Raw genomic sequence first — 25,681 nt, forward strand, 5'->3', positions numbered from 1 at the left:
TTAGGTCTGTAATTTCCTTAGAGCTTGAAACAAAAGGAACATTTGGAGTCGGTTTCATTGCCGCGTGCTATTGGTGTCACCCCGCTGCGCATGGCAGAAACGCAGCTGTTCACATGTGCCATCAAAGATCTCTGCTCCACTTCATCAGACCCTACCTGGGTCTCATCTTTTCTATCCAAAGGCTCCAGAAAGCATGTCTTTCCCCTGCATGAGGAGGGCACAGGATCACACTCACGGCACAGCCCCAGGTTGAGGGGCCACCTGTGGGAGCCCCAGGGGGGAGCAGGACAGAGGCCCTTCAAAGAATGATCTTGATACAACTGTGACGAGTGGAGACTCGCACAGGCGGCTCCCCCACAGCCTGCCTCCACGTCTCCGAAGCCCCTCTCCCCGTCCTCTGACAGGCACCCTCACTCCCACCCACGTTAACCCCAAACCAGAGCTGCAGGGCATCACCCAGCACACGTGTGCGTACCCCAAGCCGTTGACTTCAGGTGTCTGAGTCTGTGAATGCCGTCTAAACCATGTGCACACTGCACACTCCTCTCTCCACCCAGCCACAAGTCCCTGAGCCCCGGCCACGTCTGTCTACACAGCCGAGTTTACTCAGTGCCATTGCGTGGTGTGGCCACACAATGATCTCATGCTTATTTTCTGGTCACAGGACACCAAGGCTGTGTCCAGCATCTGCTGTCACGAATGGTGCTGCCAAGACCAGCCCCGCACACACCTTCCCGCTCAGACCTCCAAGTCGCCAAACGCACATCTCCAGGACTCGGGGGGTCTTCGGACCCCTCATTTCACCAGCTGATGACAACGTGTTTCCCCCTGTGGCTGCAGCCACTCCTGTCCCATGGGCAGCGCAGAGCTGTCCTCCTTGCTGAGTGTCCGCCGGGCCTACAGTGGGACGATGTTTCCTCGCAGGCTGACCCCGCACTGCCCTGGTCAACTCAGGAGCTGAGGGTCTGCTCGCACGTCCCCCCAGGACCCTGGTTCCTGCTCACACGCACCCCCAGGAGCCCAGGCATGGTTCCTGTTCTGTCAAACTCCCCGTCGCTCCTTTTCTGCCGGTTTTTCTGCTGGTCTGCTTGTCTTTTTCTCTTATGTTTAGGATCCTAAATGTTTTGCAGACTGTGACCCTGGCCCTGGTGTCCAACTCCCTATGGGACAGCTGGTCACAGCCCACTTGACTCACTCCTCACCCCTACACCCACGGAGCCTGCACAGACGTCACAGTGACCCCTCAGTCCCAGCGTGCCCCCACGGAGCCTGCACAGACATCACAGTGACCCCTCAGTCCCAGCGTGCCCCCACGGAGCCTGTGCCTGCCTGCTCCAAAGGCACCAGATAGAACTCCTGGCAGGAACCTGCCTGGATAACGCCCCAGGCCCCAGCAAAGGCCTTGGCCCACAGTCCCTCTCTCCCCACAGCCTGGGTAACGCCCCAGGCCCCAGCAAAGGCCTTGGCCCACAGTTCCTCTCTCCCCGCGCCCTGGCTGAATGGGTCCCAACGGCTCTGACGGCTCCCCACACCCCTGCCCTGTGGGCCATGCTGCCCTCTCCTCTCTGGCTCTGTGAGTCACGCACGGCCTCTGTGATTCCACGTGCTGTTCTATGCTGCGCCGGCTCCCACGTGCCTCACCTGACTGACACCACTGAACCCTCCTCCCAGCCAGCGCTCTCCCAGGGAGTGGCTGTCTAGTCTTGTGGGAATAAACTGGACACAGGTCCAACAGGAGCCCCCAGGGCATCTGCAGGATAAACAAGTGTCCTGAGAGAGGGACATCTGGTCACAGGTTGGGCACTTGAGTATCAGGCCTTCTGCTACCAAAGATAAAGAAGAATCCCCTGAGAGACAGCCCGTAGACACCCACTGCCCCCCACCCTGGGCCCCACCAGGGCAGGACTAGAGTTTATAGCCGCTCTCCAGAGAGGGGCCTCAAGACCAACTTGGGAACAAATACAGTCAACACGAACCTCTCGAGCTGATTTTTGTAGGGGTGCAAGGTATGGATCCAGGTTCTTTTTTTTGCCTACGGAATTCAGTGCCATCAGCATCACTGCAGAAAACGCCGTCCTTTTTTCCTTGAATTGCTCTTGTACCTTTGCATAAAACAATTGACCATCCATGTATGGGCCTATATATGGACTCTCTGCTCTAATCAATCGATCTGTGTCTCTATTCTTTTACCAATACCACTACATTTCTTATTGTAGTTTTAGAGTAAGTCCGAAAACAGGTGATTTGACTCTCCCAGTAGCTCTCCTTCACAAAATTGACTGTTGGAGTTCTCACGCCTTTACGTTTACATTTACATTATATTACATTGTTACATTACATTTGTTACGTTGTAACATTACGTTACAATCCACTCACTGATTTCTACAATAACTGAAATTTTAACTGGGATTGTGTTAAACGACAGATAAGTTTCAGGAGGCCAACATTTTCACAGGATCGATCTTCTAACTCATTAACATGGCTCACTTCTTCACATACTGATGTCTTCTTAATTTTTTCACCAGTGTTTGATAGTTTTCACCTTACAGATCCTACATGTATTTTGTGAGATTTAGACATACGTACCCCTCTTTTAGTTTATTGTAAATAGTCGTGTATTTTTACATTTTTGACTTGCAATTATGCATTGCTGGTATACAGATGTACAAGTCATTTTTATAAACTGACTTTGTATTTTGCAATCTTTCTTAATGAACTTATTTGTCTAAGACCAGTTATTTCTGAGAATAGAGATAATTTTGTTCCTTCCTTTCCAAAATATAGATCTTTTTATTTCTTTCCATTACATTTTTCACTGCTAAAATTTCCAGCAGGATGTAGGATACTTGTGGTATATACTAGTTCATTCTCACACTGCTGTAAAGAACTACCTGAGAAATCATGGCAGAGGCAAAGAGAAGTGAGCACATCTTCATTTGTTGGCAAGAGAGAAATATCGAAGCAGGGAGAGCCTCAAACGTTTAAATCATCAGATCTCATGAGAACTCACTCACTGTCACGAGAACAGAAGGGGGAAATCCGCCCCCATGATCCAATCACCTCCCACCCAGTCCCTCCCCCAGCATTGGAGATTCCAATTCAACATGAGATTTGGGTGGGGACACTGAGCCAAGCCCTATCTGGTACATCCTTGCCTCGTTTTCTATCTCTAAGATAAGCATTTATTCTCTCACCGTTGTAGACCATGATAACCAAAGATTTTTTATAAATCCTGTTACAGGCTGAATTATGTCCCCCCAAAATCCACATATTGAAACCCTAACCCTGAATATTACTGTATTAAGGTTACATGAGGTTGTAAGGGTGGGGCCCTGATCTAATAGGACTGGCGTCCTTATAAGAAGAGGGAGAGGCAAAAAAGACTTTCTCTCTCTCTCTCTTTCTACACACACACACACACACACACACACACACACACACACACAAAGGAAAGAACACGTGAAGACACATGAAGAAGACAGCCACTTGGCCAGGCGCAGTGGTGCACACCTGTAACCCCAGCACTTTGGGAGGCCAAGACTGGTGGATCACGAGGTCAGGAGTTTGAGACCAGCCTGGCCAACATGGTGAAACTCCATCTGTACTAAAAAACACAAAAATTAGCCAAGCATAGTGGTGCGTGCCTGTAGTCCCAGCTACTTGGGAGGCTGAGGCAGGAGAATCGCTTGAACCTGGGAGGCAGAGGTTGCAGTGAGCCAAGATTGCACCACTGCACTCCAGCCTGGTGATAGAGCGAGACTCTTTCTCAAAAAAAAAAAAAAAAAAAAAAAGAAGAAGAAGAAGAAGAAGAAGAAGACAGCCACCTACAAGCCAGGAGGAGGGCCCTCAGCAGAAACCAGCCTTGTACTGGAGCCTTGATCTTGGCTTACAGCCTCCAGAATTGTGAGAAAATTTCTGTTGTTTAATCCACCCAATCTGTGGCTTCTGTCAGTCTGAGCAGACTAACACCACGGCCTTTATTAGTTTAAGGAAGTTTCCTTCTATTCCTATTTTTCTGAGTGTTTGGGGTTTTTTTTTAATTATAAATGAATATCAAATTTTCTCGAATGCATTTTCTTTATGAATTGAGATGATCATATGCTTTTCGGTATGGTAAGTTACACTGGTCAATTAATCAATGTTGAACCAGCCTTGAATTCCTGTTAAATCCTCCTTAGCTACAATATGTCAGCCTTTATGTTTTTCCCTAGATAGTCAAGCCTAACTGGGAGATTACAAACACATCACACAACACATTCATACCACACATACACCATACCCACACCACACACCCACACACACACCCCACACCACATACTCAAACACCACACACACCACATACACATACACCCTACACAGCACACACACACACACACAACACACTCCTACCATAAACACACCACACACCTCCTCTCACACACCCCACACCATATACTCAAACACCACACACTTATCACATACACATACACCATACACAGCACACACACACACAACACACTCCTATCATACACACACCACACCCCCACACACACACACACCATATACTCAAACACCACACACATCACACATACACCACACACATACACAACACTCATACCACACAAACAGCATACACATCACACACACCCCAACACACCACACACCCCACCATGTCCTTGAACACCACACACACATCACACTCATACCACACACACCACACATACCACACTCCCCTCCCACACACACTACACCATATACACAAACACCACATACACACCATACACACACAACACACTCATACCACACACATAGCATACAGACCACACTCCCCCACACATACCACACCATACACTCAAAGACCACACACACATCGCACATACACCATATAGCACACACACACCATACACACAACACGCACCACATCATATACTCAAACACCACACACATCACACATACACACAACATGCACACACACATACAGGCACACACACACAGGCGCTCAGCCAGGCATAAGTTGTGCTGGGCACTTTCCAGGATGCTCACCAGCACCCAGTCCTCTCCCGTCTGATGACTCTCCCTTTTCCGAAAATTCCATGGGCTTGCCTGGGAGGATAAGGAGGATCGAGAAGCTATTCTTACATTGTAAGCAAACTTTTGGATAACTTAAAAAGAAATTATCTCCTTCCAATGATTGGCCTTGGCAAATCAAAAGCACTATGGATTTCAGACTGCTGTACCTGCTTTGACTAAAAAATCTTACTTTTGAAAGTCAATGCTGACTTATGGGATGAAGGCTGGCTCTGCCTTCCTCTTCCTTACTAGGGGATAGTGTCTGCACAGCAAGCAACATGCAACACAGAAATACACTTTAGGATTGGCATGGGGGCAAGATGGAATTCCAAGAGAAAACTCACTGCAGGCAGAGGGGGAGATCTCAGTATATGCTTTGGTTTTCCAGCCCAAAACTATGTGGGTCATCCACCAATTTATCCACCCATCCATCAATTCACTATTCATCCAACCACCCACCCATCCATCCATCCACCTATCCATCCATACATACATACATTCATCCACCCACTCATCTATTCATCCACCCACCCAACTATCCATCCATTCATCCACCCACTCATCCCTCCATCCTTTAATCTCTCCATCCACCCATCTACCCATCCATTTATTCACCCATCCATCCTTTCCTCCATCTACCCATCTACCCATCCATCCGTCCACCTACTCATCCCTCCATCCCTTAATCTCTCCATCCACCCATCTACTCATCCATTTATTCACCCATCCATCCTTTCCTCCATCTACCCATCTACCCATCCATCCATACACCCATTCACCCATCCGTCCTTCCTTCATTCATCACTCCATCTATCCATGAATCCATTATTCATCTGTCCATCCATCCACCCATTCATCCATCCACCCATTCATTTATCCATCCTTTCATACACCCATAAACCCATCCCTCCATCTATCCATCCTCCACCCACCCATCCATCTACCCATTCATCCAGTCATCCAGTCATCCATCCAACAGACACATGCAGAATTACATGCAGACAAAGTACGGCAGTAGGAGAAGGTAGGTACTTATTCATGGAGCCCCTTCTAGGCCTCATTCCTGGGTAGATTCAGTGTAAGCCGGATGACTGTCCAGATTCTCACCTGGGTTGAGCCCCCCAGGCAGACACACCCCCAGGTTTCCTTTGTTTAGAAGGGCAGAGGAAGATGCTGCTGCCCTAGGAAAACCGTGTCCTGGCAGCAAGCCCCCAGCTGGGAGTTTTCAGCAGCTATTTTGTGAATGGAGATGGACACATAGCCCTGGGGTAGTTGGAGCTTTTCCTGGCAGTATCCATGGCAACAGGAAGCACAAACAGAAGCATCATTCTACAGCCAACAAAGAGTTCGTTTTAAAAATCACCATTATCTTTTCAGAGTGCTTCTGGAGTCTCCAAAGCAGAAATGACCGCATACATTTCAACAACATCTTTGCAATCCTCCCTTTACATGAAGAAAGCAACTGAGAACCTAAAATGACTTGCGCATGGAAATTCAAACCTAAATATATCAAGAGTGTTCTTTGCCGAGGCCATGGCCTTGTAGAGTTACTGCAACACCGAGATAAAGTAGCCAGTGAGCACCCTACTTCCAGGGCATAGTCTGAAAAGATCTGTTTCAGACTGGAAAAAGCCGTGCACCTTCCTCTCTTCGATATGAAAATACGTGACGCGCCCGTGTTGCCTCCACTGACATACACCAAGCTCCATGTGGCTGGCAAGATATTACCCACCCGCTACTCCCTGACTGACCCGTGAACACACCTCCACATGCTGCGGCTGAATCCCCCTGGTGTGGTTCACCCTTTAGGGAGAAAGGGCCCTGCAGATGGGGAGCCAGCCACTCTCTCCTCCAGGACCACTGGGCAGAGGCAGAGCCCCCCGCAGAGCACAGCCTCGGCACAGGGTCTTGGCTGCAAGTTTCTTACCTCCAGGCAGCATCTAAGGAGAAAGCCTTGGGGGAGCTGATAGAGAAGAAGCTGTTGGAGAATGGGAGGCAGGAATGCAAGTGGCCGCCCTGGTCCCGGGCGATGGAAGTGAAAAGCAAGAAGAGCAGGTGAGTGGGGTTGGCCTGGTGGGGCTCACGGTGGCCTCTTGACCTGAGGTTCTCGAAGCTCCAGGGACGAAGGACCCTGGGACAATACCCCGGCCTTCTGTCTGCAGCCATGCAAACAGCAGGCACCTGCCCATGCCCTGCCGTGCATTGCATCCCCTCTCTCCTGCCCCAAGCAGCACAGCCTTAAAAAGCAAATAACCCACACTCGGGGCAGTTTCACCAGGTTTCAGGTTCTTTTAGAAAGTGGAATTGCTCCACAGGGCTCTAGTTTTAGGCATAAGCTGGCGCAGCCCCTGTGGCGGCGGACACGGCCCCTCCCCTCCTGGGCGGTTCCTGACCATGTCCAGACCCTGGGCCCCACCTTGGCCCTCGCTTGGCGCTGGGCATCTGTCTGCTGTAGCCCACAGAGGGCTGCATGCTTCCCATTGGTCATGGATGTTTGCAGCGCACATGTATTTTCTGTTCTCACTTTCTTCACGTCATCTTGCATCCTAACTGTTTGGAGCAGAGAACACTCTCAAAGCCAGCAGGGCTCACAGCACCGTCTTGAATACAAGTTAGTTTTTAGTTGAATGTAACAAGCAGTGGAGTGTCCAGACTGTTTAAAGGTGACAAGCAGCACAGCCGAGACTCCCGGGGACTGTCCCAAAAGAAAGAGAAGAAATGGGAGACAGTAAATAGAAAACAAAATAGGGCGAGACCCAAACCATGCACTTCTATTACCAAAATACAACTAAAAGGCACACTCTCCCACTTAGAGAGAAAAGATGAACCCACTGAGTGAAATCAGACAGAAAATGTCACCGATGCCATGGGCGAGGGGACGTGCCAGGTGGAGGCTCCGGGCAGCTGCGTCAGGGCCCCACATGGCCGCTTTGCCCTGGGGAAGTCACCTGTTCTCTGTGCCTCGATTTCCACATAAGGAAAACAGGAGTCACAGTAATGACGATCATGTTTATCCATATCATATCACAACTCAGAGGAACCGCAGGGGTGTCACGCGTTAATGTGGGTGAGGTTCCTGGTCTGGGGCCTGGAGCCGGCTCTGGAGGCACCTGTGCTGTCGGTGGGGTTCGGCCCCTGCGCTGTGGGTGTCAATCACGCCGATATCCTGAGCTGCTGCAGAGGCAGCCAGAGCCCAAACCACAGAGGAAACCTGAGGGGCAGAGAGCAAGCGGCGGCAACTCAGCGCGGCAGAAACCGACGCGCAGAAAAGCCGGAGCCACCTGGTGTGATGTCAAATGACACCCACGGCAAACTGTGCCAAATGGGGAAAGAGACTCTTAGGGTGACATGAGGATCCATTCAAACCAAGGTACAACCACTGCAGGTCTTTGTAGGCTGAGACACAACGTGGAGAATCCACAATTAAACCTTCAGGAAGTGTGAGGAGCCATGAGGAACCGGCTCTCAGGAGGGAGGGACGTAAGGTGTCCCCTCAGCCTGGCAGCTGGAACAAGCTAAAAGTGAACAAGGAGAAAATCAAAACACGGGGAAACCGCTCACCTGCGGCACGGAGGAGACGCACTAGAACCTTCCAGTGCAAAAGCCCGGTGTCTGCATCGATTTGCAGTATCCTTAGGACACATAAAACCATGTATCCTACCCATAAAATGAGGAAATGTCAATCAATACCTCCGATAAACATCTACAAACGTGAAACCCTATTGGCAGCTTTCTCCGAGCAGGATTTAGCAACACACAAAATTGTACCACCTTAGAGCTTCTCTCTGGAGCTTCTTAAAATGCAAGGATGCTCATAGTGTTTGCCAAGCACCCCAGAGGGTGCAGGGAGAGCCCCTGCCATCCCCAAGGGGAGGAAGAGGCCACAGCTGTCATGCTTTGTGGTCAGACCTGAATTCAAGCCCTAACAGTGACCCTAATGAGCTGGGGAACCAGCTAGCTAGTCCCTCATCCGAAAATGGGGTGGCAGCAGTTAGCTAGTCCCTCATCTGAAAATGGGGTGGCAGCAGTTAGCTAGTCCCTCATCTGAAAATGGGGTGGCACCAGCTAGCTAGTCCCTCATCCGAAAATGGGGTGGCACCAGCTAGCTATTCCCTCATCCGAAAATGGGGTGGCACTGGTGCCTCCCTTGCAAAATGGTGCAAGCGAAATGAGATTGTGCATCTGCTTCAGTGCCGGCCGCTGCTCGCTATCAATAAATAAATCATTCACTCTGAGTAAATTGTGAGCCCCGGAAGGAAGGTGGTCTCGTCTCCCTCTGAATGTGTGAGCAGCGCACAGTCAGTGCATCCTGAACATGTGGGTCAGCGCCTGAGTTCTGGAAATGAATTAAGCCCCTCACTGATAATAGGGCGGTCCCGGCCATTCCTGGTTTAAGATTGTTTGTTTGTTTGTTTGTTTCCACTTAAATTTGAAACCAAGTTCCTCTCTCATCCATTTTTAATCTCTTTGGCTGTGAAGAAAACCATGTTAACGGTTCCTCATTTAATAAGAAAGGTGTAACAGCTGTTCCTTCCACCTGCGTTTCCTTCCATTTCAGCTCCAACTCACACATCACAGACACCTGGCAGAAACTTGGAGAGCTGAAGTTGGATTAATATTTCTGCTGCATCTAATTGAAGCCGTTCTTCTCCCGGCAGGGAAGAGGAAGGGCTGTGGGACTCGGTGCATGGACCCAGATGCGGGTGGGGCAGACCTCAGGGCCCAGGGGTGAGAGGGAGCAGCAGGAGATGCAAACACCCTTGAGAGGGGAAACCAGGGCCCAGGGGCGCTTTCTCTCAGCCTGGGTCCTGGCTGCAGCCCGGACAGTCACACGGTCAGTCTAGGGTGACCCCATCCCTGGGCCGGGGCTGACCGGTCATCAGCGAAAGCACCCTCCGTGCTGTGAGTCCCAGGGGTGCTGGCGGGCACTGGAGAGAAAAGAAACCTCGCTGGACTGGAGACAAAGAACCTTCCCTGCGCCTCCCTGGGCTGCTTTCTTCTCCAGCCGCCCTGAAATTCTTTCCTCCGAAAACAGAGCTCAGAGACCTTCCCACCCACTGCACAGAGGCCTGGGGAGACGGCCCAGGCGCTGCCTGTGTCCCCACCACAGACCCCTTGTCGATGCTGGCAGGGAGATTCAGGAGAATAAACAAACGCGCCGAGCATCTCCTGTTCTCCTTGGTACCACCAGCCTCCAAGACGTCTTCCAGCCAGGGCAGGCTCAGGCCCAGCCAAGCAAGAGGAACCCTGACTTGTCAACCTCGGAGCCAGGAAAGGCGGGGACCACAGGCCTCCCGAGGAGGGCCTCTCCAGGCAGCTCGAAGGACCTCAGATGACGCAGGCTCTCGTGTCAGGGCGCACAGCCATGTGATGACTCCACATTCACTCAGTGCTCAGCACAGAGTCACTGCGAGGCGGCGTGAGTCTGTGTGACATCAGCGTGTTTAGTGCATGACATCAGCATGTTTAGCACAGAGTCACTGGGAGACAGTGTGAGTCTGTGTGACATCAGCGTGCTTAGTGTATGACATCAGCGTGTTTAGTGCATGACATCAGCGTGCTTGGCACAGAGTCACTGGAAGGTGGCATGAGTCTGCGTGACGTCAGCATGTTTGCACTCAGAAAGGTTCTCTCGGTGTTTGTGCTGCTCTGTGTGATCTGCTGATTGGTTAATGTGAACAGGATGTGCCTGAATGCTGCAGGGGCAGCAAGGTGAGCCCTGGGCTCTGTCCTCTCTGCTAATGGGAGACCTGAGGAGGAAGCACCCACTCCAGCCAGAGGCAACACTCACTGGCCCGGGGACGCGGGCAGGGCCAGAAATGCAGGTGCACCCACTGCTCTCGTGGGCCCCAGGTTGAACTGTCTGGTGGGAAGGCCGGAGTTTGGGGTGGTGATGCAGGGGGTTGTGGCCCAGCTGTTGGGGCACGGCCATGGGCCAAGCCTCAGTGGTGTGAGGATCAGGAGGGCGTGCGACAAGCCTGGGACTGGCCTCCAGATGGCGCCTGGGTGGTCCCACGCCTCGGCGACAACAAGGACCTGCCTTTGATGAAGAGCAGAGGGAGGTGAAGAGCACAGAAGCTGGCAAGCCAGGGAGCAGTGGTGGCAGGGGCACCTCCCCTCTCCAGACACTGGGCCACCCAGCCACTGAGAGGATAGCGATCACCCCGGCCACCCTTCCCGAGGTGGGGCGGGAAGAACACAGGAGGGGAAGCGAGGTCCATGATTTTTTCTTTCAGGTCAGTGATTTAGCACCAACTGTGTGCAGGCCTCAGATGAGGCACGAGGGGCACCCAGAGGAGGAGGCCTGTTCTCTGCCATCCCGGGGCACCCAGCCCAGCTTCTCTGCCATCCCAGGGCTCTCAGCCCAGCCAGCCCCTCACCTCCCGTGCCCACCCCTCCAGGCCCGCCCTCCCCAGCCCAGGCCAGCAGGTGGGCACCTCCATCTCTGGATTTCTGCAGAGGGAGGCATGGCTCCTGTATCCATGGGGCCCCGAATCCCCTGGCTCCCACCCCTGACTGAGAAGCAGAAGGACTGGGCGGCGTTGGTCGGTTTCCGCAAACACCGGTTCCAGAGCTTCCGCTGTGCGGATTCTGTTCCTGGGTCGGGTGAGACGGAGAATCTTCCACAGCAGCTGCCACCAACCCATGTCCATCAGGTCTGGGAACCCACCCAGGGCCCCATGCTCCACATAGTGACAAACTTTTGACAAACTGGGCCTAATTGGTTGTTGTTGTTTTTCCATTTTTTTTAAAAGGAACCAAGGGTCTGTAAAGAGAACTCCCATAGGGTAGATTTTAAAGTGGCTTCAGTTGAGAAATGCAAAATAAAGTGTTTTGTCTCTTTTTTGCTTACATTTGGAACATGATCAAGGCTGTCCGAGGCTGTCTGACCTCGCCTTAAAGCCGAGGGAGGAAAGCCAGCACCTGGATGCCACTGGCCCCGCCTGTGGGAGCTGGAGCCTCGTCGGGGGTGAATGAGGCCAGGGAGGTGGACACAGAAAGACTCTGCCTAGCCAGGTCTCTGGGATTCTGGGTGCCTGGACTTTGGAGCTCCGGGGAGCCAGCTTGCAGCTCCTCTGGTACCAAAAACAGAGGTGGCTGGAGGGACCCCTGGGAACCCACGTTTCTGCATGGCTGGGGTCCTTCCCAGCAAAGACCCTGCCCCCAGCCCCACCCTGGACCCTCTGCCCAGATGGTCGCCCTGGCCTTCCTCGCCCTCAGAGGACGACGGTTGCCTGTCAGGAGGTCTTCAGAGATGCAACACGCTTCCCCCGTTTAGCTTCCTGGGAGACATATTAGCAAAAAAATGTCTATGAGACAAGTTACAAACAATCTGTCTTTCTAAGAAGAATAATTAATCGAATACCAAATAGGAAGCACCAGAGTTCTGAATAAATGGAGAGACAGTTAGAAGAGCAAAACATTATCATTTGTCCAGCATAATTATTTTCTGGGAAACAGTCGGTGATTAATAAGGTGCATTATAAATACGCTTTTGTGGTCACGTTTCCTCTCTCCCGTCTAATTAACATGCTGGGGAATTGCTCTTTCGGTGGGGAAAGACATTTAAAATATATATTTCATGAAATCTGAGTTATCTGTCATAAGCTCCAAGAGGAACAAATAAAATATGGAGAATTCTACAGTCGTTTAAATACTTTATTACATGGCTGTGTGTCAAATAAATTAGTTCTTGTGGTTCTGCAGGTGACAACAGAAAATTGTGGGCTGCAGGACCCCGAGGGTGGTGGGACACGCTCTGCCAGTCCCTGGACCCAGCATCTGCTTCCTTCGCAACCCATGGGTTCAGTCCAAGCAACACACACAGCCGACAAGACCCGGTTCCCGTGTGCGGACAGAACTCCTCCAAGACCAAGTCCCTCCCCGGGTCAACACGCCCGCCCCATAGAGCCTGGGGAAATGCCACCACCTGTCCCCCACGGGTGGGGAAACTGAGTCAGAGCTGTGCTTTATCACTCCCACACAGAGAGGAAAGAGGGATTGGAAAAATAGATGGTGAGTGGCCCGTCTGCAAGAGATGCACAGCGATGCTTCTGCAGATAAGCCAGGCCAGGGAAGGATGTGGTTCAACACCATGGAAAGATCGGGGATTTGGGGGACACCTCAGGTTTAACTACAGGGGAACTACTGTTTAATTGACTTAGGTGAAGGAATTTTACCTATTTGAGTGATTCGAAATCGGGGAGGGCCCCTCTGTGAGCTCCCCCTCGTCGGGGCTCAGTGGCAGAGCCCCGGTTTCTGCCGCAAACACCTCTCACTGCCCTCCACACAACACATAGCTCCCTCCTCCTCCTCACAGAGTGCCTCACACAGGGCCTACCCAGCGGAGGAAAGAGAGTCTCAGCTGCCCCGGAGCCCGTTCCTCACCAAGACCCGTGCAGGTCTGCGTAGTGACTCCAGCAACAAGATGTGTGTAGGATCCGGCCACCCCAGTGCAGTTCCTCAAGGATCTTAAGAGAAACCCAAGAAGAACATGCCCTGGCTGATCCTCCTGCCTTTGGATATTTTAATGGGATATGAGCCCCGGGGCTGCTGCAGCCACCTTGAGCACACGAGGGGTTTGGCCGTGGGAGAGGCTGCTGTGCTGGGGGCAGGAGATGGGTGCCCTGGAGACACCTGTGTGAGGGAGGGTGGCCATGTGGGGCCTGGGGCCAGCGGGGCCTCCTTGCCTCTTTACCCCCTCCCTTTGTCCCTCCCTCCATGGCCATCCTTCTTCTCTTCCCACTCTCACGCGTCCCGTGGATCCGGCCCCTCTTTGTCCCCAAACTCACCCCCATGACCTGGCAGTCCAGCGGGACACAGGCCCAGGCAAGCCCAAGCTCAGCCATGCCTCCCAGCAGCCTGAGGCCCGAGCAGGGTCTGTGATGAGCAGAGGCCGCAGACGGCAGTGCTGGGGCCGGGAATTCTCCCTGTGGGCTCTGCCCTCCGGCGTGACCAGTGCATGTGTCTGTGCTGGAGGTCGGGGCCCTTGAGATGAGACACTGAATGCTCCCTGCTCTGCCCGGCTCCCGGCGGCAGGTGGAGCGTCCAGCGCACACAGGGTCTGCACAGCCAGGCGTTTCTTCCCCACCTCGCATCTCTCCTGGGGCAGTGTTCCATGTTATTTTGTCTGAAACAGGGTTCTTAGGCTCCCTAAAAAACACCCAGAGAAGACCTCATCACTTCACAACCTCAGATCCAAAAAATTCCCATAGCTTTGGTTCTGTTCTGATGGAAAACCCTGATGCTGACCTCCACCAGAACCTTCACAAAATGGGATGGAACCAAGAGATTTACTTCTGTCCACGTTGTTAAGCGGTTCCTCGCAGGGAGGGCTCTGATGGGAGATTAGTCTGTTGCAAACATCAGAACAGCTTTGAAGGTGCAGTGGGGCGGGGGAGGCTGCAGGGCGAGGCTGGGGAGGCTGCAGGTGGGCAGTCGTGCTCGGGGTAGGGAAGGAGCCTGGCGGCCTTGCAGCCTCCGCGCTCTCAGGAAGCAGCCCCCACCCTGGGACCTTCACCCCGGAGATGGCAGACTGAATCCGCACCTCATTTGTTGGCGGTTAGCAGATTTCCCAGAAAGTTCTCGTGGGAAAAGCCAAACCGCCGCTTCTGTTCCATAGCTGCACCAAGTCAGCCCCTCTCTATTCACAAGAAAGCGTTTCAAAGGCTTCAGAGCAAATTCGTGTCGCAAAACAGAAAGTGCCTCTGGGAAGAGCTCAGGGCTGCTCTGAGGGTTCCTGCAGCAATGGCCCTTCATCAAGCCACAGAGCTTTCCGCTCCCTAAAAGGCATCCCCGGGCCATTCCTCAAGGAGGGTCCCACGCCACGTGCTCCTGGCTGGCCTGGAAGTGGAGCCAGGCCCCTGCCTGCAGGTAAGGGATGCCCCAGACCTGCTCCCTGCACGTGGTGCCTGGACGTGGACCTGGGGGGGTCTCTCCATCGGTCTAGAGTGGGGCATCCAGACCCCGGCGTGGACTCAAGCTCTGCTGGAAGGAGGCTCATTGTCTTTCAGGATCCTGCGGCCGGAGGCCAGGGCTGCCCACAGCAGAGATCCAGAGAGCACTGAGTCCACACACGGGAGGAGACTGGGAGGGGAGGGATGGGCAAAGCCTCACAGGCCCATGAGATGCACAGCTGCAGGATGACATGCGTGGCTGTGGGGAGATGCACGGCTGCAGGACAATGTGCACGGCTGCCAAACGAGGCCACATAGCGTCCACCTGACCAGCCCCCACCACCTACTGAGGAAGACAGAGAAGCTGCAAGAAGGGAATGAATGTTTCCAATGCCCCTGCTAGAAAGATCCTCTCATGCCCTAATCTGAAAAGTCAGGGAGAACTGTTCCTAGCTTTATTTTATTGTCAAAATGTATTCTCCAAGGTTGCTTTCACAAGTAGCCATTTCCTGGGGACACAGTGGGGGATGTGGAACCAGAAGGAGATGGCATGGGAAGGTGATCCCAGCACACCTGCGTAAACCAGAAATAAAATCCTAAGATCCCAACCAACCGAATGGATCCCTCCTCTCAGCCAAGGGGATTCCAAAGTAAGCCTGAAACACTAGTTCAGGCCATGCCTCATTCTACCCTCCTCCCTTTGGAAAGTCAGGCACAGGTGGCCGGCATTCACATTGAAACGAGGACCTTAAGACTGAAAAAACAGACTCTTTTAGCAATGAGGTACCAATTCCAACCTAACTAACATGATCACGTGACAGACAGCAGGCCCTGAAAAAACTCAAAGTATTTTACCCCAAAATATATTTCTTTGACATATTTGGAAATGGCCCCACAAAGTGGTCTCTCATGGGGAAAATCTGTGTTCTGTAAAGAATCCCCTTCCCTTTCCAGAAAGATCCCCTCCCGTCATCTAATTTTCCTGATGGAGGAGAGATTAACCAAGTCTGACACCTTTTTTAGGTCTGATAAGAGACATTTGCCCTCTATTCCCTTTGAAGCCTGTTCCCTGGAGACTTCATCGACATAATAAGAACCTTGGTCTCCACAACCCCTTATCTTTACCCAGACATTCCTTTCTTTCTATTGATTCCAGATCTTTACATAATAACTCCTTCAACCAACTGCCAATCAGAAAATCTCTGAGTCCACCTATGACCTGGAAGCTTCTACTTCAAGCTGTCCTGCCTTTCCAGAGCTAACCAATGTACACCTTGCATGCATTGATTGATGTCTGCCTGTAACTTCTGTCCCCTAAAATACATGAAACCAACCTGTGACCCAGCCACATTGGGCACATGACCTCAGGGCCTCTTGAGACTGTGCCTCAGGCCCTGGTCACACGTACTTGGCTCAGAATAAATCCCTTCAAATATTTTAGAGTTTGTCTCTTTTTCACTGACACAGGGCACGGGATTGTCGTCTAATTACAAGTTCCTTGATCCATGTCCTAAAAATGAGCCCATGAATTTTTCCCTCCTTCATTCTGAAATCCATCATCACTCAATGCAAAGAAGTGGGAAGTGTCATCCCATAGAATGTGAAGGCCTTTTCCTTCCCGTACAGGTCAGGACCAAAGCCACTACGACCAGTATGTATCTATAGACCAGCAGAAAGCTTCCCATTTCCACCTAAGTGTCTGACCAATAGCTATGAGTGGCTTTTGAAACTCTATCCTTAAAATAAATAATAATAATCCCATCTAGCTGACGAGGAAGTTCTCCCAAACCCCTGCTTCCCACTCCAAGTGTCTTTAGAGGGAGCATCTCCTCCATCATAGTGTCTGCTGCTCACTCACAGGTGGGTCTGGCCTTCCCAGCTGTGATGCATTTGAATCAGTGGATGGCTCAAACAGAGGGCCCTCCCTGGCGTGGGTGGGTCCCGTCCAATCTTTAGAAGAGGCCTCCCCAGAACAAAAGGGAGGAGTAAGGGAGAATTCACTCTCCCAGCCTGACTGTTCTCAGGCTGGGACTTCAGCCTTCTCCTGCCCTCGGACTGGACCTTATTCCATTGTTCTTCTGGGACTTCCTCTTGCCACTGGCCGGTCTGCTCCTCTGGAGAGCCTTGATTCCTACAGGGAACTTGCAGCTGAAACTGCCCTCTAAAGACAAACATACATCACAGCTTCAGTGAGTCTGAGTCACTTGTACATGGTGTTTAAAACCTGTTTCCTGTCCAGAAGCGTCTGACCTCATACCCTGTGTCTCCGTCCACAGGAGAGGACACCCAGTGTCCAGGCAGACGCCCGGGGGCAGCTCTCATTCTGAGAATGACTTCCACCAGGAAGGATCGGTGAACCGGCCTCTAGGGGACACAGGGCCGTCTTGTGGGAATAGAATGTACCAGTGAGATGTAACTGCACCTTCCCATTGTAAGGGCCTGGGGAGGCCCAGCCCACAGATGTTGCCATGTCTGTGCCATTTGTCTTTGGGTAAGAGCTTCTCTCCCTGCTGGCATCTCAGAAGGGAACCCAAGGGCACCCCTTCAAGTGGCAGAAACTTCCGGGAGTAAAATGAAAGCACAGAGCACCTTCCAGCCACTGCACCCTTCACCTGTGTCAATCTCCACCTCACCCTGGACAGGAAACGTAGTTCCAGAGCGGGGGAGCGGTCTCTGAGACACACATGGATGGCCCAATGGCTCTTCCCAGGCCTGCGAGGGGCATCTTCCCATGTGAAGGTGCCTGGCCTAGCTTCCCCACTGAAGGCACAATGCATCTTCAGGAGGAAATCCACGGCCCCCTTGAAGCCAAGAGGAGCTCACCGCTCCAGGCAGCAGAAGTCAGAGACTGCAGGAGGCCTCCCCTACAGATGTCCCTCAGGGCAGAGAATTTGGAGACCAAAAGAGAATTTGTTCAATCCAGGAGAGAAACAGGTTTCTGAGTGAGTCCTTGGCACGTCTGAATCCCTGGTCTGTGACAGGGCTCCCCACATCCCAAGAAAGCTTTCCCAAATAGAACTCAGCAGAGTCTTCTCCTCAGACCACCTACCGCCTGCAAGAGAGGCCGAGTTCTCAGCATGGTACCTGGACCCGGACCCAGACCTTCCTTCTCTGTCCCCAGCTGACCTGACCTCGTCTGCCCTGCTCCCTACACACATCCCTGCCCGATCACCCATCCTGCCAGCCCCAAGCCTTACTCTGCCTGTGGAAGCTCCTCTTGCTGACTGCAGACAGTGGTGATAACAGCCACCACACACAGGGCCCTGTCCACACAAGGCTACTATGCATGCAACTCCTACCATTCATGGGAGACCCTATGACCAGGTAGCAATCGCCAGGACAGCCGAGTGGCCCTGGCCCCCCAGCTCCCTCAGGGCCAGCCTTTCCTGCTGAAGGGTGTTGGAATTTGCCACTCCATAATGCACCACTTTGGCCCAGGTATTCTTTTGAGCTGAAAGCAGTTGAGAAGAAGCAGATATAAGAAAAGCTCTCTACCCTCCTTAATTTGCAGGATATAAATGACAAAGGATTTTGAAGATGAAAACTGAGGAGGACATTGCCTTACCAGAAATTAAAGGCTACAATAAAGCTCTAACTGTCAAAACAGTGTGGCATTGGCACATGGACAGGCAAAACATAAGCAAAAATCAGGGTGACAAGCAGTCAGTTCAAAGACATTCCTGAATTTACATATATATCAGGCAAACATCCAGAAATGAATTGGCAAGAGAATGGCTATTTCCTATTCTGGTTCCATATTTGACTCTCCACGTGGGAGAAAAAAAGAACAAAACTAGTATTTTATTAAAAAGCAAACTAGAGATAGACTAAAATCTGAAAGTAATAAATAATCTCACCATATTACCCCAAAACTTAAGAGAATGTTTATATACACTTCTTCAAGAAGGAAACTCAAATGCTGTCAGGGACACGTGGATCTATTTAAAGCTGTCTTTAATGACCTGGGGAGAAGAAGCATATGTCAAAAGCCAAGCCGTAGACTGGGGAAATGTGGGAGGCAACTGGGCAGAAGACGGCCTCTGTCGCGAAGAAACATGGTGAAAAGGGAAAAGAGAGCCCATCCAGTAGTTTAAGTGAGAACAAGCTAGACAAGGTGATCCACACAGCCAGCAGCATGAGAAGACACACGGGACTCAGTATGGTCACAGAAACACAGGATAACAGATGATGAAATGCGCTTTTCTTCCATCCTCAAGCTGGCAGCTGTGTAAAGCGCATCCGCATCTGGTCCTGGCAGGATGCAAAGAAACCAACTCCTTATTGCAGGTGGAAGTAGAAATGGCTCCAAACACTTTGGAAAATCACCAGGCCATACACACTGGAATCTAAAATGCATTCCCAGTGCAAGGAACCTCTTCCTGAGACATCACAGCATCAGACCATGAGGACATGTGTTCACCTGGTGATGAAGGCATTGATGGTGGTGGTGATGGTGATGATGGCAAAGATGGCAATGGCTATGGTGGTTGATGGTAGTGATGATAGTGATGATGATGATGGTGATGATGGTGATGGTGATGATGGTGGTGATGGGATGATGACGGTGATGGTGGTAATGATGGTGACGATGATGGTGATGGTGATGGTGATGATGGTGGTGATGATGATGGTGATGGCAGTGATGATGATGATGATGGTGATGATGGTGGTGATATGGTGATGGTGATGATGGTGATGGTGATGGTGATGATGATGATGGTGATGGTGATTATGGTGATGATGATGATGATGATGATGGTGATGGTAGTGATGATGATGATGATGGTAGCAATGATGATGATGATGGTGATGGTGATTATGGTGTTAATGACGTGGTGGTGATGATAATGATTATGATGATGATGGTGATAGTGATGGTAGTGATGACGATGATGGTGATGGTGATGATGCTGATGGTGGTGATGGTGATGATGCTGATGATGATGGTGACGATGATGATGACGATGATGATGATATGGTGATGATGGTGATGGTGATAGTGATGGTGAAGATGATAGTGATGGTGATGATGGTGATAATGATGGTGGTGAGGTGATCCTGATGATGTTGGTGATAGTGACAGAGCAACTGCACATACTTGAAGGATGCTCAGGAGTCACATGAGGTGGACTTGGACCAGGGAGGCCTGCCCACCACAAAGAGAAGGCAGCTCATAGGCAGGCAGAACCTTGCTGGGATTCTCGTGACTGCAGTAGAGTACATCCTGCTCTCTTACTCTCAATGATCTTCCACCCATACACACATACTAGTGCTATGAGAGTGGCAAGGAGATGCAAACCCAACTGCTTGTCCTCTACATGCAAACATCAGATGCTTGTAATCCAAACTCAAATTTATTTGTTCCTGCAACATCATGTTGCCACCTTTGATATCAACTCTAACTACTGATGCAGTAGCTTCAGACCTCATCTCTCTAGCTTGACCTCATTTGTCCCTGCCTGCCCCCAAGGACAGAGAGTGTTTTCTTTCTGCATAGCAATAAGAGTGGCATTTTGGAGCACACACGAGGTACTGACTCTGTGCAAGCGCTCTCCCCACTGGCATAATCCCCCCCAGCATCTTGGTGACAGATGTTGTTATTAATTGGAAGTCAGCACAGCTGGGAAGGGAGAAGACTCACTGGAGGCCAGATCTACCTGACTCCCAGCTACTCTCAGGATTCATTCAGCATTCTTCACCTTGTATCTTACACAGGCAGAAACCAGCAATATATACATACAAAAAAAAAAAGGTGCTGTCATTTGGAGGCTCATAGCTGTTGTGACTGCACTATTTTGAACTCCTTGGATGTCAACTTATACCTCACCCAGCAGGACAAACTCGCTGACCCTGGAGAACCCCAGTGCTGTAAGTTAACCAAATTCCTCCAGGAAGCAGGAAAATATCACTCAGAACCCAAGATGCAGAGACAATGAAATAAAACTAGTTTTTTAAAATGTTGTGTGTCTCCCAACATTTTTTTTCTTAAACTTACTGCCTATTATTTCTTATGCACTAGGGAGCATTAACAGATGATTAAGCAAATGGAAAATTAGTAAAGAAATATTAATGGCAAGAAAAATGGGGAAAAGCTGTGCTCTACTCACATATGTTCAGTTTTAAAACACTCCTTAACTAGATCAGAGCAACAGAACAACTTTTTTGATAATAGTAATGGTGATGAGTGTGGTGATGACGGTAGTAATGGTGTTAGTGATGGTGGTGGTGATGATGGTGATGGTGGTAATAATGGTGATAGTGGTGATGGTGGTGATAATGGTGATGGTGATGGTAGTGGTTATGATGGGGATGATGGTGATAATGGTGATGGTGGTGTTGGTGATAATGGTAATGGTGGTGATGGTGATGGTGGTGATGATGATGGGGATGATGGTGATGGTGGTGATGGTAGTGGGGATGATGGTGATGGTGGTGATGGTAGTGGGGATGATGGTGATGGTGGTGATGGTGGTGGTGATGATGGGGATGATGGTGATGATGGTGGTGATGGTGATGATGATGGTGGTGATGATGGTGGTGATGGTGATGATAGTAATTTGATGGCAGTGTTGATAGCAGTGGTGATTGTGGTGATGATGGTGGTGTTGGTGATGGTGATGATGATGGCAATGGTGATCATGGTGATGATGATGGCAGTGATGGTGGTGATGGTGATGATGGTGATTATGATGATGATAGTGATGGTGATGGTGGTGAAGATGATAATGGCTATGGTGATGATGATGATGATGATAATGATGGTGATGACAATGGTGGTTATAATCACAATAATGCTGAAAACGCTGCACACAACACTTACAAGGCATTGTGCAAATATCTGACATCATTTGCTATTTTCCCTTTCCCCATCCCCCCCATCCTCCAACCCCACCCTCTATACTCCCTTTATCCTCTCATCTTTCATCCTCCATGCCCCTTCCCCCATCCCCAATTCCCTCATTCCTTCTGTCCTCCATTTATTCATTCATTCATCCGTTTAGTCATTCATTTGCCACCTACTAGGTACCAGGATCACTGGGTTTTACTGTAGGCTGAAAGCTTTGTGAGTTACTAGAATATTGGGAAGTTCCTTTTGCCCATCTTCCTGCCTCTAGGTAGAGTTAGTGCATCTTTACCCTCAGGGAAAAGATTAACGCAGACATTGCTGGATTCCATCTCTGGAGCACAAGGAAGAACCAGCTCAGCCTCCTGACTAGTTCTCTGATCCTGGAGAACCCCAGTGCTTTAAGTTAAGTGTGTGTGGATGGAAGATCGTTGAGAAGAAGACAGCAGGATATACTCTATCCCAGCCTGGCAGAGACACACTGCCCACCTGGCGAGTGGGTTTCTTTTGGGGCACATTGGGGTTGCTCAGTGCAGCGTGGGGGGACAGGGACAGCTGGGGCACTGGGTGCCTAAGGGTTGCTCAGTGCAGTGTGGGGAGACAGGGACAGCTGGGTCACTGGGCGAAAGGTGGGAACCCTCGGCGCTGCATCTTTCACTTGCTCTAGAAAACACCCAGCCATGGCCCCGCAGGCTCCCCATGTCACTGGGTCCCACATGGAATGCAGATTCGAGGCCCAGGAAGCACTCTGTCTGCCCCCGCACAAATCTTCCTGGCATCTGCTGCCCCCAGCTCCACAGGGGGCCTCAAAATCAGCCAGCGTGGGAGGTGATGGCACCTGTAGGGGAGCATTGCAGCCCAGGCCCCTCTAGCACTTTAGTGCACTTGTTCCAAAGACACACACAGACACACACGCCGGAGGAGTGATTTCTGGAATATGGCGCAGTAATTAGCCCCACTCAGGTCCTAGGGTAAGAGCTGCACCCCTAAGGGGCACCTGGCAGGTCCATGAGGCCAAAGGGCACCACCCTCTGGTACCCCACTCTGCAATGTCACTGAGCAGGCAGGGGGTGCAGCGGCAGGGCAGGGTGAGCTGAGGCCCCAGAGGGAGACCCCAGGCCAGCTTCAAGCTCTCCACAGAGGGTCCCTCACCTCCTACCAGCTGTGCGATCCAGGATAGTCGCCTTAAATCCTGAGTCCCGACCTTGGAACAGCATGAGTAATGACGACGGCCCCTCCACGGCCGATCTGGCGCAGTGCTGAGCTGTGAGTGGGGCCCTTGTTAGTGGCAACTGTGGACAGGTGTCTGGCAAGCGCACTGAGCCAGGAGAGAAAGGGTCACCGGGAGCTCCCAGGACGGGGCTGGCTGCAGGGGGACCGACTGTGAGACAGAAGGACCAGAGTGCTCAGCCCCACCCTGACTTCCAGGGAGTGGTGAAAGCTGGAGATGGAGTGAACTGCCAACGGCCAAGGATGAAATCAGCCACACCCATGTGATGAAATCTCCGTAACAACCCGAAACTAGGCTCTGAGAGCTTCCGGCTGGAGCGCTGGGAGGGCAGCCACCCCAACTGCATGGAGAAGGAGGAACCTGCTCTTGGGATCCCTCCAGACCTCACCCCTGTACCTGTTCATCTGCCCATTCATCTGCACCCGTCCCCTATCACAAACCCTCGACTGTAAGCAAAGCATGTCCCTGAGCTCTGTGAGCTGCTTCAGCAAACTATCAAACCCAGGAGAGGTGTGGGAACCCCGACTGTTCAAGTCAGACAGAAGTGTGGATGTCCTGGGAGCCACTGCTTGAAATGGGCGTCTAAAGTGGGAGCACTCTTATGGGACTGAGCCCTTAACCTGCGGGGTCTGTGCTAGTTCCAGTAAGGTGGTGTGAGAATTGAACTGAGTTACAGGATGCCCAGCTGGTGTCTGGAGAGCAGGAGGACTGCTCGGTGTGGAGGACCCCCCATGCGTGGTGCCAGAGGCCCTGTGAGTGAAGAAAGGGCCCTCCCCTTACACACGTGCCTGGGAGGGCCGGCAGGAGGCCTGCTTCACAGACGGATGTTACACGCGTGCCTGGGAGGGCCGGCAGGAGGCCTCCTTCAGAGACGGATGGGAATCCAGGCCTGTGGCTCCAAATACGTCCACTCACCCCCGCCCAGTGGCACTCGGACCCCAGGCAAGGCCTCCAGGTCCACTTGCTGAGACACACTCCCCCTAGGCAGAAAAATTACGCAAAGCCACCGGAGCCCTTACCACTCCCAGCCCCCGGGCAGCATGTCAGGGCATAGGCTCAGCCCCTTCCCCATGGGGTGCAAGGGAAACCTGAGGCTGAACCCCATCAGGGCTACAGAGGCCCCTGACGTTCCTTTGTGTGTGGTTCACTCCTCCACCTGCCCTCCCTCCACCACGCGCTCGCCCAAGATGTTAGATGGAGACGGAGGTGCGAGGCTGGCCTCCCGGAACCCACGCACCAATGCAGGAATGCCCAGAGGGAGACTCAGCCCCATCTGGCTCCCAAAGTGGGTGACAGAGCGAGACCCTGTCTCAAAAAACAGAAAAAAAAAGTCAAAAGAACTATATGTGAGTATCATGGCTAAATATTAAATACACGAAGCCATGTCCAAGGACTGAAATGAAGGCCACCTTCAACCTCCTTTATCAGCACAGATTCTGAGAGGAGCGGTGGGGATTCCGAGGCTCCGAGGGAAGGACACGAGGCCCCAGCCAGGCTGTTGTGTTGGGGTGAAGAGCGGGCGGCCTCACACAGGCCCTGGGGCCGCAGCGTCCACAGCCCCGCTGCGAAGGCGGGGAAAGGACCCTCAGCAGGGAACGCAGCCCAGCAGCGGGGCCCTCGGGATGAAGAGCTCGGCAAGGAGCCTGGGAGCAAGGAACACATGACTCACAAACCTCTGGAAAATGCCCGGGAATGGAAGGAACCGAGTTCCAGTAGACAGGAGGCAGGAGGAGGGAAGAACCGGCCGGAAGGTCTTTATCTTTCTAGGTTTCCATTCGACAGACGCCCCACCAGTGACGCCTGACCACATCAACGCTGTGCAACAAAGATCCCCAACTCCATGCTGAGAGGGACCCCACCGCCACGACGTGTCACCGGGGCCTGTGCATCGCAGGGCCCAGCTCCTCATGGGAGCTCCTTGAGGAGTCTGTGGGCCGTGGGGGCTCTGGGAGCTGCCTGGGTAACGATACAGGAGTGAGTCTGGGTAGCCCCGGGCTCCTGGAAGACACTGCCTTAACCCACCTGCCTCCACAGCTTCCTGTGAGCTGGGCAGAGACTGCAGCACTTACTACTGAAGCCACTTCCTGTTCAGCAACCTGCAGAGTGAGTGCTCCTGTCCCCACAGACCGGGAGGCTGAGGCAGGAGAGGCTGAGGAGCAAGGCCAAGGCCAGGGGGCTCAGGGGTCTGGGGGCAGCAGAGCCGGGTCTGTGCCCAGACACAGACTTGCAGGCTGCCCTGCCAGTGCCAAGCTCAGCTGCCCAGAACAGCTTCCAGGTGCAGGCCCCAGACCCCAGGAACGGCCCCCAGGGCCCGAGCTCTGCAGGCAGGGCCCTGCTGCACAAGCGTCACTCACAGCCGGGACGGCGTTTGGAATTATGAATTTTAAAACCCTCTAAAACTCACATTTTAATGCAGCCTCCATTTAGAGAGTAAGAAGGTTTCTTGACAATATTCCCTATGGGAAATTAATTTGGCCTTGGGACTCTATCATTTCCAGATGCATCTAAGATCCTACTCCTCCCATTTTTCCAACAGAAATGGGCCTCTTGGGCCCTGTACAAACCCAAGCACTGTGTTCATCAATGCCAGCTCACCGGCATGAGAAATGCACCCGTGGCCCACAGAGAAGACACAACAACATCCACAGTGGCCGCTGGGAG

At 51.9% G+C, this 25,681-nt stretch overlaps 1 long non-coding RNA gene across 2 annotated transcripts in view, besides 1 other annotated feature; it reads right to left on the reverse strand.

Moving 5' to 3' along the window:
• The window catches only part of MIR3667HG (MIR3667 host gene), a 242,996-nt gene that overhangs the window by 161,545 nt on the left and 55,770 nt on the right, over positions 1-25,681 (reverse strand). The gene's annotated exons all lie outside the window — the stretch shown is intronic.
• Positions 23,033-23,533: an enhancer, noted in NCBI's record as "H3K4me1 hESC enhancer chr22:49992749-49993249 (GRCh37/hg19 assembly coordinates)". NCBI's record gives its function as "activates a minimal SCP1, AML or CMV promoter by ChIP-STARR-seq in naive H9 embryonic stem cells {active_cell/tissue: H9 hESC(naive)}" and the evidence as "EXISTENCE:reporter gene assay evidence [ECO:0000049][PMID:30033119]".

Source organism: Homo sapiens, chromosome 22, assembly GCF_000001405.40.
Source record: "Homo sapiens chromosome 22, GRCh38.p14 Primary Assembly".
NCBI classification, from domain to species: domain Eukaryota; kingdom Metazoa; phylum Chordata; class Mammalia; order Primates; family Hominidae; genus Homo; species Homo sapiens.